Genomic DNA, 13,895 nt, shown 5'->3' with positions numbered 1-13,895 from the left:
TGCCACAAAGTAGTGCAAAGTGTTGAAACTCCCCTCAACTGGGGTTGTGTAATAATTAGATCCTCATTCATTGCCTCATATCTTCTCTAGGCTTAAGATTATTTTAAAGCCATATCAACATATGAACACCAGTAAGAACGGAGCATTCAGAAATCAGACGAGATGTAAACAACTGGTCCACCCATACTGGTAAATTTCAGATAAATATCGCCTTTGCTTATATAACATTATGTCTCTGATTCCCCTGCTTCTTTCATGGAAACCTCTCTTCCAACCCATAAATACCGTCTTTCTGCAAGATGTTTTCTGCGGTCCACTTCATTTTTCTTTCAGCCCACTTTCCCTTAAAAATATCCTTTCCTTCCATAACATCAACTTCCATAACATCACTTCTGTGTAGATGCCTCCTCAATTTGGATGCATGATCCTGTTCTATTTCTCCTGAATTATGACAGTCCCCCACTCCTACCTGTAACCTGAACACTTTAATTTGCATCTTCATCATGCACCTCACACTTCACATGCTCACAACGTAACAAGCTTCCCATCTCAAGCTGTGTTCTTCATCTTTTATTTCATTTTAATTTTAGTAACATAAAAATCTCATTTCTTTAATGTCAAAACTTCAGATGCGCGTTCCACCTATCCCTTATCTTTACTAATAATCTCATCGCCATTCATTGGTACAAATCTATTGGATTCTATTTCCATTCTAGGTTAGGCCCTACTCATATCTCAGCTGTTATAATTATATTTGAGTGGTCTTCCCTTTCCATTTCCTTCTCCTTCTGGAGAAGAGAGTCACCAAATTTACCTTCCCAGACCTTACCACTGATCATGTGTTATGGTGGCTTAAAAAATATCTGTGGCTACTTATTGTCTAAATAATCAGCAGCTGCATTTTTAGCTTGTTTTCCTTGAAGGTTAGCCTGATTTCCCTCAGTTGGAAGTGATGATTTTTCCCATGTATTATATGATTTTGCTTATATCTTATCTTCTCTCTTAGACTATGAGATCCTTAGCTCAGGTATGTGACTGGGGCTTAGTAGATGCTCAAGTTTATCAGTTGATGAAATGAACGAATGGCCTTTCATTTTGGTATCACATGACTCACACCCGATAGCTAATTTTGAGATTTTTCTCAAGACTCGGATCATTTCTCAGGAGAGACTGCTTTGGAGATGTAGACTCCATGCTGCTCTGACTTCTCAAGGAATTACTAGGAGCTGTGGTTCAGAGTTTAGCAAGGCTCCTTTGGAATACTCTTGAACTGTAGCTTCTTACTGTGATTCATGAAAAGACATTAGGGTTGGCCAGGTGTGGTGGCTCACGCCTGTAATCCCAGGACTTTGGGAGGCCGAGGCAGGCAGATCACAAGGTCAGGAGATCGAGACCATCCTGGCTAACACGGTGAAACCTCGTCTCTACTAAAAATACAAAAAAATTTAGCCAGGCGTGGTTGCGGGCGCCTGTAGTCCCAGCTACTCGGGAGGCTGAGGCAGGAGAATGGCGTGAACCCGGGAGGCGGAGCTTGCAGTGAGCCGAGACTGCACCACTGCACTCCAGCCTGGGTGACAGAGCGAGACTCTGTCTCAAAAAAAAAGAAAAAAAAAAAAAAGGCCTTAGGATCTGTGTAAATGCCTCTAGGAAAGTGGTTTTCAGACTTGAGCATGAATGACCATCATTTGGAGGGCTGAGCCCCACCTCTAGAGTTTCTCATTCAGTAGGTGAAGAGTAGGTTCCTAGAATTTATATTTATAGCAAACTCTCAAGAGATGCTGCTGCTGATTGAGGGACCACACTTCAATAAACTCTGTTCTAGAACAGGATATAGGCATGCAGAGGTCTCAATGACACCAAACAACTGCAGTTATCTGCCAGGTATTTGACCACAACATCATAAAAACTAAACCTTGCCCCCTCGGCTCCATGATAGATCGTCCTAATACTTAGAGGAGATATACTCCCAATAAAATAGCTAAGAATTCATGTTTTTATCAAAAAGGGGATAAATTTTTGCCTAGACTAATATATGAAATAACCATATTAATCTTAAATGAAATTTAGGAATTGGTGCTATGACATCAGTTAGTTTTCTATCTCCTTATGTCATCTGGATGTATTTATAGTACTTAAGTTAGTATCTCCCAGTTATAATGGAGTTGTTTCCAAGTAGATTATACTGGTAGAAAGCCTCTTTCAAGCATCTGCAGCACCATCCTCAAACCAATGGGACACTTGAGTGATATCTAATTTCTCTCTTTCTCCAGAGTCTGCATCAGTGCAGTAATGGGTTAGGCATTTATTTACCATCAGAAGCAAACCCATGATTTGAAAAGTTGTCAGACCGGAAGCAGAGTGCCAGATGCCATACTAAATTCAGCAATGTTTTTTGACTCAAAATCATATGGATTCTAAGGTGTCTTCCCTTTTTCAATTACCAACTGTATATGCATCTTGGATAGTACATCTTAGATTGTTTTGATATAAGAAAGAACATAAATTGACATAGTTTAATGTGTATGAACTTCATGTGACTGGTGAAACTTTGAAAAGCTGACATCTTTATAACCATGAAAAACAAAATTATGCTAATATTTTTAAAGGATAGGGCTAGGATAATTTAAATTCAACTTTCATTTATAAACAGCTTAAAAGTAGTTATAGGTTGGTACAAGAGTCTATTTCTTATTCTGAGCTTTATTCTCAAAATCCTCTGCAATTTAAGCATCAACTATAATTCTGTTCACAGCAGAGATGAAAAACAGCTGGTATACACACTCTTTGTAGTAATTCTTTATAATCTGCAATGTAGTCATTAAGTTACTCTTTCTTATGACTTTCAAAAGACCCCGGCAGATATGCTCCACCAAACAAACAAAAAACAAGATCCAATCATTCAACTAGTTGTTTGGTTACTTGAAGTCAATCAACAAGTCCAGCAGATATTTCTTCTTAAATTGAATTAACTAAAAGCTTTGATGTTTTATAAAAACATTTTTGAGAGGAAAGAAGGAAGTTTGGACTCTGTGGCGTTAACAAATAAAAAATATGAATTTAAAATATTAAGAACTCTTGATGAAGAAGGAAAAAATGGCATTATGTTCAGGAATGAAAAGAGGGTTTGGAAAGGTTATAGATAAATGCACCTTTCTCTTTAACATATGAGAGGATAATACCCTCAATGTTCTTTAAAATGACTGAGGAAGCAAGGAATCTGCGGGATTATTTTAGAATAACACAGCTTTTAAGAAAATGTAGGTTGAAGACTCACTTTTCAAGTTGAAGGTAGTGGCTGTATTGGATTTGGCTAGAAAAAAGATTTACTGACAGTAGAAATGTTTTAAGTATGACATCCGGTTTGGGGGAGTTTTTAACCTCTAAACACTTACTGAATAGTTGTCAAATGTTTTTGGCAGCTGGCCATTCCTTTTTTTTTTTTCTTTTTTTTTTTGTTCTCAAGTATATATGAATCACATAAGTGAAATTGACTAGTGGCAGAGGCTGTCATTCAGTAAATGGATTCCTAAAATGAAACTGGAGGAGGGTTCAAAGATAAATTGTATAGTTCATCTTTTTTTAATCCTAAAAGTTGATTTTGTATGTTTAAGTGTGGCATATCATCACAGAAAACTGTGATAATTAAAAATTTGCATTGATAAAATTTGAATAAATTATAGTTTTCAAAAAGTAAGTCACATTTCTTCTTATGTCTCAGATTTGCCATCATATGCTTTCTCAAGTTTTCAAGATATGATTTTTCAAATAAAATTATCTTCAGAGATCATATATCTTTGAATGAATAAACATTAGATATATAAAACCTTAATGGTTTGATTTTATGATTATTGAATGTCATTGTCTTAATAAATTTTGCTTTTCAATTCTGCTATGACAACCTCTGGCAATTGTTGTAAAATAAATTTGCTTGACTTGTACAGTTTGAAGTATTTACAGTACTGTTCTAATTCACATGTTGTGCCATTTGGTACTTTTCTGGATTATTTGAATCTATAAGTTCTCAAACACTTAAATTTGATACTAGTTAAAATATCTGTGGTATAAAGTAGTGAAAAAAACACCCAGAAGCTTAGCTCAAATCTTGATTGCCATAACTTTTTATATAACTCATTTGGGACTATATTTCCTGATCTATAAAATAGCACCTTCCTGAAGATGTCTAAAATTAAATGAGACCCCATCATATAGCAAAATGCCTGGTCCAAAGGAGTCATTCTATAGATATTTATTTCCTTCTCTTGTATCCCTAAGAGGGCAGCAGGCAACATAGATTCAGAAGTCTTAAGGGGATTAAAAAGTAGCAGAATAGCAAAGGGAGCACAAGATTTGGGATAAGAAGCCTCGGTTCCTACCATTTAACAGTTAATGATTTGAGGCAAGTCATATACCCAGAACAACTCTACATCTCTCCTTCTGGGATCCAAAAACTTGTTCTAGCTTCTAAAGATTATTCCTGTGTATGTAAATGGTCTAACTACCACCACCACCCACCCCCCCACCAAAAAAAAAAAAAAACACCAAAAAAAATCCCTATAAGGTTTTTAAATGATTTGCAGAGGTACTATGTTTCACTGATGGACATGAGGACAATAATTCCTGAAACTATGAATAGTGAGTGACCTTGTCATTGAAAGAGAAAGAAAAAGAAATTCTATGGCCTAAGATTTCATAGATGCCAATGTGCTTAATATGCCTGAAATGGAACAGATGTTCACATTTTCTGAGATGGAGGTGGAGATTATAAAAAATTGCTCTAACTAATTTTGTTCAATGCCTGTAATAACTCCCAACGTAGGACTAGGAGATCTCTTTCTTCATCTTTAAAATAGGATTCGTGTTAGTGATTACAGTGTTCTTATAAGCTTGCCCTGGCGTCATTATGAGTAAGCATGCCCCACATACTTCATAGTCAGAGAAGGAAAAAAAGCTGAAAACAACAACAAAAACCATTTTACACTCTGAAAAAAATATATAAAGTAGGATTATAACTTTAAACAAAACTTGAAGGGACACTCCATTCAGAGACATGGAGGAGCAAAGGAGTCTAACACTGTTGTGATGTCTGTATTGTTTTTTAAAATCTTTCCAGCATAAATGGTGGTGGTACTTTGTTAGTATAAGTTCTACTCTAAAGACAGTAGCTTGCCCTTATTAGGATGGTCAGCAAGCATTTAACTAAAATGAGGCAACACTCCAGAGGCGGTCACTACAAGCACTTAAACTATATTTCTGATCAAAAGTAGATGCTTCATCAATTAACACAATGGATATTAGAAATCAAGTTTCATTGCTAAAGATAGTGGCTTTTTACTGTGTACAATGGGTCTTGGAAATGGTATTTCCATGGTAAAATCAGTGTTAATCAAGACATATGAATTACTTAACACAATTTAGAAACACATTCCCACCCTTACAAAAATCTAGCAGGGCCAGTGGTCTGCCCCCTTGGAGAAGATCTTCTAGGCTTAATTCCAAAATGGTCTTGATGAAAATTATTCTTGGATGTCAACAGAAGGTGAGTTCAATCCTACCACTGGAGTATTGCCACATTTGCCTTGGGAGAAAATTTCTTGCAAGGTTTCTGAAAAGCATGCACACATGCAGATTCATACATGCACACAAACACACACATATACAACAGAATTGGAACTTCTTCTGATTTATAAGTTGAGTGATAAGGCTGTCTGCTAATAAATATTTTTCTGGCAGAATTTATCCAAACTTTCTTTCCTTTTATTGTGGAATCAAAGTGGTAGGGGGATAGCGTATCTTCTCCTCCCCTTAACCATTGTGGTTACTTCATTTTCCCCAAAAACCTCAGAGAATTATGCAAGATTACATTGTCTTAGGTTCATTCTCAATAGCTGTGTTATTACAAAGACTAACATCTTATTCTAACTAGAACTCTGCATGTTGAGATCCCATGGGGGTGGCAATGCTACAAAAGTAAGGTGGGTCACCCTTTGATGGCAATTGCTTTCTGAGCTAAGTCTAGACTGTTCTAGCAGGCAAAATGGAGGCATTTTAAAAAATGGAACAGTAAATTTGTACTTAGATAATTCTGTTAGAATGTGAAGGATAAGATAGAGAAGTAGAGAATGAAAACAAGAGGGTGGTGTAGGAGGCTTGGACAAAGCAGTTGCAATTAAGGGTAAGGAAAATATCTATTTTTGAGAGGTGCAATTGACTGATATTGATGACTAATTAGAAATGGCATATGAGGGGAAAGTGTGGCCAATGAGATAGAAGGTGATACCAGGAACTGAGGTGTAAAATGGAGGATGACAAAGAATGAGTATGGGCGGGGAGTGTTGTGGAATTGGAAATGCTAAGGACTGAATGCAGGGGAGATAATAAAATGTAAGGTTATATAGAGGGGAACAAGGAGTGATGTGAACGAACTGAGAGAGAAAAGCATCAATATGTTCTATCTTTAAAAAATATTAGAATCCTTCTATATCAATCATAATCCTTCTGATAAAGAACTGATATAGCCAGGTAATGCCTTTTGTAATGACTCCAAAGGAACTGAGTGAATGTGTCCCTGATGCCAGAAACTCCATCTGCAAGTCTGATAAAATGGCTGTATATCTTGGAATTTAGAGCCATTTAGACCGGAGCTTAAATTCTGTCTTTCTAATTGTGTGATTCTCTGATTATTGATAAAGTAGTCAACACATCACTTGTTATTCAATAAATGGCCATTGAATCTATTATTATCATATTGCTATAGTAGGATATTATTAAACATTTTTCCCTGGTTATTTTTCACACTTTTTGCCTTATCTTACTTTCAAAAGTATTTTATAAATTACCCCTTCAGGGAAGGTAAATATGATAGCCATGAATAAAGAAGGCAATACTCAGGTTTGACTCTAAATTACATTTTTTAAAAGACAAGAATTTACAAAGCCTTGGGTTTTGTTGAATAGCCATCTCTTCTTTGGAAGAGGAAAAAGCTTGCAGAGCTAGGAAGCATGGGGATTTGATGATGTCAGAGAAGTTTTTCACTATTGGAAGAGTAGACCATTCTTTGACCATAAAAGCATGTATAGGAGGCTCTAAGGGGCTGTGACTAAGGTTTACAGCCTGCATGGGTTTCTGAGAAGGGGGCCCTCAGGGCCACAGAGAGGAGAAGAGGATAACAGAACTTCATATGGTTTGAGGCAGAATCTGAGAAGGGCGAGGATTTGTGTCAAGTTTCCCAGGGAAAATCTTGGGAAACTGTAAACTTCATAGAGAAATCCTGCACTCAATGTGGAAACCGTATATGAAAGAGGCAAAGGATGAAGAAGATGATTACTTTTTTTTTTTTAATGGGAAGGTGGGTATGCGTGTAGCCGAGTTTATGGGACTAGAAACACAGGTAAGAATGTCTGAAATTCCCAAGGGAGAAACATCTGGGCAAGTGTGTGAAACTTGTGACTGGAGGCCATGACAAGGATCTACGCCTTCAGAAGTCAGTGCTCAACATGTCCAAAGACCAGGTGGTAGTATCTCAAGTGAGGAAGGGATGGCATATGCACCAGGTGACTTTTTCCTTTACCAGAAAGCTACATATGAGTTCCCTGGAAACAGGTTTAAACAAGAGTAAAAGAGAAGAAGGGAAATGGAATATTCCAATTTTCAACTGAGTGTTAACCCACAAGAAGCTGAATTCCAAACCAGAAGTGACGGAGTAATCTTGGAGAAGCAAGGTTATGAGTTTTTTCTCAGTAGAAATGGGAACTTGAGAGCCAAGCTGAATGGTTTTAGAGCACTAGAGAATTAAAGAAAGTTGCAATTATACACTTCTAACTTTTGTTAAGATATAGATTTTAAACTTGCTATATAATTATTAGTACTGCTGTATGGTTCTGATAAAACAGTGTCTGGAAGTTCTAGAGGTTAGGTGTGATGCAGCGGGAGATACGAGTTAAGAGTGGGGCCCTGACCACCATTTCAGCAGGAACGGGTCTGCTTTAATATAGGGAGGCTGAACATGTGATTGCGGTTCTAGTAATAATTTCTTCCCATAAAACCATTTGAACAATCACTGCCTTGACAGTCTTTGCTTCCCCCTGCCCCCCGCTTTTTAGGGGAATAACTTGTACATTAACATATTCCAGATGACAGTTAAGTTTGTTATCTTGGTTTTCTTTGGGTCTAATTCATTTTCAGTGGCATTTCAAGAAAAGCCCTAATAGTTAGACCCTCGATTGTGCTTAAGATGGCCTCAGAGACAGAGTTCTAAGAATCGCTAAAGGATTTATTAACTAAATTGCTTTCCAAGAGAACCTTCTCATCTGTTAGAATACTGTTTGTTAGTGTCTGTCTGCTTTGTTTTCTTACTTAAAACATTTTTTAAAAAACTGAGAACCCAGCAGCTTCAGAACAGCAATGAAATATGGTAAGGCTACCCAAGTCAGTCACTGAAGTGTTTACAATTAGCAGGACCCACTAAACGAAACTTCGAATCACTGAAAGTTCCACTGCGTATGATTAATTCATTTTCATTATATTCCAGAATTTTCTACATTCAGAAAATGACAGATTACTGCCCTAGAAATTGATAGTTTGGTAAAATGATTCATCTCATTCAGAACACAAAATAAACATATTCAAAACAGGGTTAATAGAAAAGGGGAGACTTGTTTAGGTAATGTGCTTTTTCAAATACCATGTACTGTGCTAATTGTGCAAACAACAGTAGATCTTTAGATGATACTGAACATACTAAATTTAAAAAAAATACAAATAATAGAGAGTATCCGATAAGATAAAGGCTTTGGGAATAGACTTATTTTCAAATCCCATCTTGGACACTTACAGTATTTGTGTTATCTTCTTGAGTAAGTTATTTAACCTCTGAAAGTCTCAGTTGCCTTATCAGTAAAATGGAGATTACAATATTGACCTCAGGATGTTTGTGAGGGTTAGCAAGAATGACTCTAAGAATGCCTAGCACTATGCTTGGTGCTCATTCAACAGTAGTTCCGACAATGGCAAAGTCCTTATATTTCTTTAAAACAGCAGCAATAGTAATAATAATAATTTGCATCAATAGGCAAGAAAGTTAGAAACAAATAGGCAAATCAGCAATTAAAAACTTAAGAAAAAGAAAGGGTTTTGCTGCAGCTCAGGCTTCACCCTAATGGGAAGGAGAGAAGGGTAAACCAAGAGGAGTGTTAGGCATTCTGAATAAACCACTTCTCTTTACAAACCTGCAAAACTAGTTTTGCTTGTGGATTTATTATTCCAGAGGACCCTGGAAACGTGGCAACATAGGCAATTGCCTCATTTTCCTTGGTACCATTTACTGCAAAACTGAAAATCACTGAAAAAAAAACAGTATATAAATATGATGAGACCGGGTGCAGTAGCTCGTGCCTGTAATCCCAGCACTTTGGGAGGCCGAGATGGGGGGATCACCTGAGGTCAGGGGTTCAAGACCAGCCTGACCAACATGGTGAAACCCTGTCTCTATTAAAAATACAAAAAATTAGCTGGGTGTGATGACGGGCGCCTGTAATCCCAGCTACTCGGGAGGTTGAAGCAGGAGGATCGCTTGAACCCGGGAGGCGGAGGTTGCAGTGAGCTGAGATCGCGCCATTGCACTCCAGCTTGGGCAACAAGAGTGAAACTCCACCTCACTAAAAAAAAAAAAAATGATGAAGAAAGCTTTGTCATCTGTACTATTCATTGTCAGTTTGCATATGCTTCCCATCTTGCTGGTTTATCTTAGTTTATTTTCCTTTTTGTTATTTTTTAAAAACATAAGTCTAATGTGCAGTTTAGGGAGCTGAATTTTAAGGACTCCATTTTCCTCTTAGATTGTACACATATTCATTGGTGACCAGAAGCAAATACTAATTATGATTTCCACAAAACAATATTTATTTGTCTACGTACAGTAAAAATATGAGATGCATTACTATGAAATTAATGTGCTTGTGCATTTTTCTGTTGGTCCACACTTGGAATAAAAATTAGGCTATCTAAATATAGCTAAATAAACAAGATTGAAAAGACTGCTGGATGAATTTAAAATACTCAGTACAGTTTATTATAACGGATCAGTCTAAACAGGAGCAAATTGAGATTCGCTTCAAACTACTGGGCTAGAAAACACAATTAAAAGAGACACTCCTTACCTAAAAAAAAGTAAAACTGGCCTTTCAGTCCTGATTACAAGGTGAGAGAAAAGGAACACTCTGATGGCATTGCAATCAGTGTTTGTAATTTGTAAGTGTTTGGAATACAATTCTAAAATGGATAGGTGTTGCTTTACAACTTTCAGAGGAAAATACCTACAGTATTGGCTATAAAGCATCACACATTTCCTTACAAAAGAGAAATTTACAAACTGAGCACTGAAAGAATATACGAGCTGCTGCCATTGATTATGCACGTAATTTTTTTCCCCTTAATAAAACAAAGACAAGAAAGAAATTAGAACATTCAGAAAGAACAATAAAAGAGGTAACATCCTACCTCCATCGAGCTCTTCAGCTCCAAAATGATTCCTGTAGAAGAGCATGATTTCTATCTTGTAACACTTGTAGATGGTCACCAAACATACAAGCAGCAAGAGTATAGCACCAAGGCCTCCAGCAAGTTCCACTGTGTACATTAGCTCTAGAAAGAAAAAACCACAATGGGGAATTATATGGTATTCACATCCAAAATCATAAATTAAACTCAGTTTGATTTCACATTTTCCTGGATGAGATCAGATGTGGGTTAACGGGTTGACACAACCCCTTTCCTTTTTGCATGAGAATTTGACCTTTTGATAACTTTCTAGCTCTGTTTCCTTGGTAACTAGATAAGGTGGTATGTGACAACCATGTTGCTAAGCAACATTGCTTGTGGTAAAAATGAACCTTGGTTGGTAGCTTGCATTTGGATTAAGAGAATTGTAAATATCTGATTGGAAACTATAATATTGGGTTTAACAGAGTACCATAACTCTCTTATATAAATGTATCACTTGTGGAGATCCCGGAAGCTATGCTTATGGGGTTGATAAAATAAATACTGATTCCTGTGGATATGAAGCTTTTAAGCCAGGATGACTTTTGGCCTCTCCCAATGAGAATCTTGATCCCTCTCACTTGAGCTGTCACCTGTGGGTTGGGGGCCAAAGAAAGGTGAGAGGTCAAACAACACAGTTTCAGGAGAGCACTGTGGATTGTTGCATAGAATGTTGGGAAGACTATCTAATGAATGCTGTCTGCTGACTCCTGCCAGGAGCAATAGCTCCTCTGCTGTATCTTCCTGAATACAGTGATACCAAGGTGGTCTACCATAATCTTGGAGGCTGAATGCTTTTTGGGTGTAAGAAGTAGGCCTCCTAGTGGATGGGACAGTATATGAATATGTTGGTGGTGTTTTATTTTCATTCAACCGTTTACTTTTTAAGATTTTTGCTTCCCCTTTTACCAGGCATGTTACTACGTTCTATCCAAAAAAGGAATTTTCTTGACACTCACTGTATACAAATTCTCCTTTTTCTACTGAATATCTACCTTAGATCAAAACTTATCAGGAAAACTTGGAGATAAAATTTTTTGTTATTTTTTCCTTCTTTAGAACCATGGACATTGTAACAAAAATAAGGATATTGGTATTTAAATAGTAAGCCATCATGCATAGATTTTTGAAACTCACTTTAAGCGTTGTCGGTAATCATCACAGCCCAAATGTTGTTACTGATGGGTAGCCATTGTTCCCTGCAGTTGACAACTACCTTGAAAAGTACTAGTTTCCTTAACTACAATTAAATATAAACATTTCTGAAATTAAAGCTGTAAAATAATGTTATTCTTGATTCTGTAATTCAGAATCCACCAGTAAGTTATCTAATTTCATAACACAGTCAATGTAAGCTTAGACTGAGAACTTTAAAATGATCCACGGTTTTGCTGGTAACAAGTACCCTCAGGTTATCAGATCAGTCCTGAGTTCTCACAAATGGGGTGAAATCATGATGGGACTGGTGTAATATGAGTGACAAATAATCTGAAAAGCACGGCCATCATTTTCTTACAAGAACATTGTGTATGTGTGTGTGTGCAGGTGATGTCACTTTTCCTGTAATAATTACAGGAAAAAAAGTCCTCAGACTGGGCACGGTGGCTCACACATGTAATCCCAGCACTTTGGGAGGCCAAGGCGGGCAGATCACCTGAGGTCAGGAGTTTGAGACCAGCCTGGCCAACGTGGCGAAACCCTGTCTCTACTAAAAATACAAAAATTAGCTGGGGATGGTGGCAGGCACCTGTAATCCCAGCTACTTGGGAGGCTGAGACAGGAGAATCGCTTGAACCCAGGAGGTGGAGGTTGCAGTGAGCTGAGATCGCGCCACTACACTCCAGCCTGGGCGACAGAACGAGACTCCGTCTCAAAAAAAAAAAAAAAAAAATCCTCATTCATATTTCCTATTACCTAGCCCTTGATTTCTAATTCTACAGTTTAATAAACAACACATTAACTGCTGTTTAATCAAGTGTGTTTTTCTGTAATTATTAAAATTAAATGGGAAATTGAAGAAAATCTTATTTAAAACGATTGAACTGTATGCATCTAAGAAAAAATAAAGTGAGATCAACTCTTTTAGAGTCTAAGTAAATTAATATGAAGTGTAAAACACTGAAAAATACCTCCAGCAGCTTATCTGATTAACATTGTGGGGAACCACACAAGACAGTACTACAAAAATACCAGGAACAAAATACAAAAAGCTCTTCAGTATAATGTTTTCCCCCTATTATATGAACAGAAAGGGTGAGCGGCTAATCCTGTGGGGATACATTGGGTCTTGTTCACTCAAGATAATAAACTCCACCATACACAGAAGCCTGTGTAAAATTCTAACTTATGCCCACAGGGTGATTTATACATCAGGAAGATATGATTTAAAATACATTGGATATAATGTGAGAAATAAGCATTTTGACTATGGCTTCTTTTAAGATTTTCTAATTTAGTATATTAAACACTAGGAATTTACCACTCAAAAATTTCTTGTACAAAAAAAGAAATGGAAAAAGAATCAAGAACACTTAGCTTCCACTCCCAAACATTGCTAGTGAGAGTACCCAGTGATATTACCACATTGTAAACTTTGGGGTAATTTCTAATAAAATTAAATAAAAATCTACCATATCAATAGCAGTTCCACTCCTAGGTATTTGTCCAAGAGAAATATAAGCAGATATCTGCAAGAAGAGTTGTATGAGAATGCTCAGAATAGTCTTATTTATTCACAGCAGCCACAAATAGAGACAACTTAAATGTCCATTAACAGGAAATGATGAACAAACTATTGTATGTTCATATGATAGAATATACTCAGCAATAAAAGTAGTAAACTACTGATACGCAAAACATGCATGACTCTCACAAAATTATGTTAGAAAAAGGAAGCCAGACAAGAAATAATACCTACTGTATGATTCTATTTAAATTACACTCAAGAACAGACCAACATGATCCATAGTGACATAAATCAGAAAATAGATTCATTGATGATGAGTGAAGGGAAACTTGTTGGAATGGAGCAAGAGGAAACTTTCTGGGGTAAAGGAAATAGGTTTATGGTGTGGATACACAAGTGTTTATATTTGTCGGAACTCATTTAGCCAAACACTTAGAGCTACACGCTTTATATTATGTGAATCATATTTCAATTCTTTAACATTTTGATTTTTCTTTTTTTAAGAAAAACGTAAGTTCTAACCAAAGGCCTATGTGGGGAGAAGTGTGGGAAGAAAGCTGGGAGTCAGGAAAGCTGCTCTGCTGTAGATAAGGGCCCAGGCAGGGAATGATTCTTTTACGGTGCCCCCAAGCACATTCTTTATATCTGGAGGCACTACACAGGGGCTGGGCAT

The 13,895-nt window shown here is 36.9% G+C and overlaps 1 protein-coding gene across 3 annotated transcripts in view; it reads right to left on the bottom strand.

Annotated features, from left to right (window-relative positions):
- IL1RAPL1 (interleukin 1 receptor accessory protein like 1) overlaps positions 1-13,895 on the bottom strand; it is a 1,369,273-nt gene that overhangs the window by 4,430 nt on the left and 1,350,948 nt on the right. For all 3 annotated transcript variants that reach the window (NM_014271.4, XM_017029240.2, XM_017029241.2), the window contains one exon: positions 10,495-10,638. In NM_014271.4, the coding sequence (NP_055086.1) occupies positions 10,495-10,638 (144 nt within the window). The remainder of the gene's footprint in view (positions 1-10,494; positions 10,639-13,895) is intronic.

This window comes from Homo sapiens, chromosome X (genome assembly GCF_000001405.40).
Source record: "Homo sapiens chromosome X, GRCh38.p14 Primary Assembly".
Taxonomy (NCBI): domain Eukaryota; kingdom Metazoa; phylum Chordata; class Mammalia; order Primates; family Hominidae; genus Homo; species Homo sapiens.
Note: the sequence above shows the minus strand (reverse complement) of the source record. Positions and strands in the feature narration are given on the sequence as shown.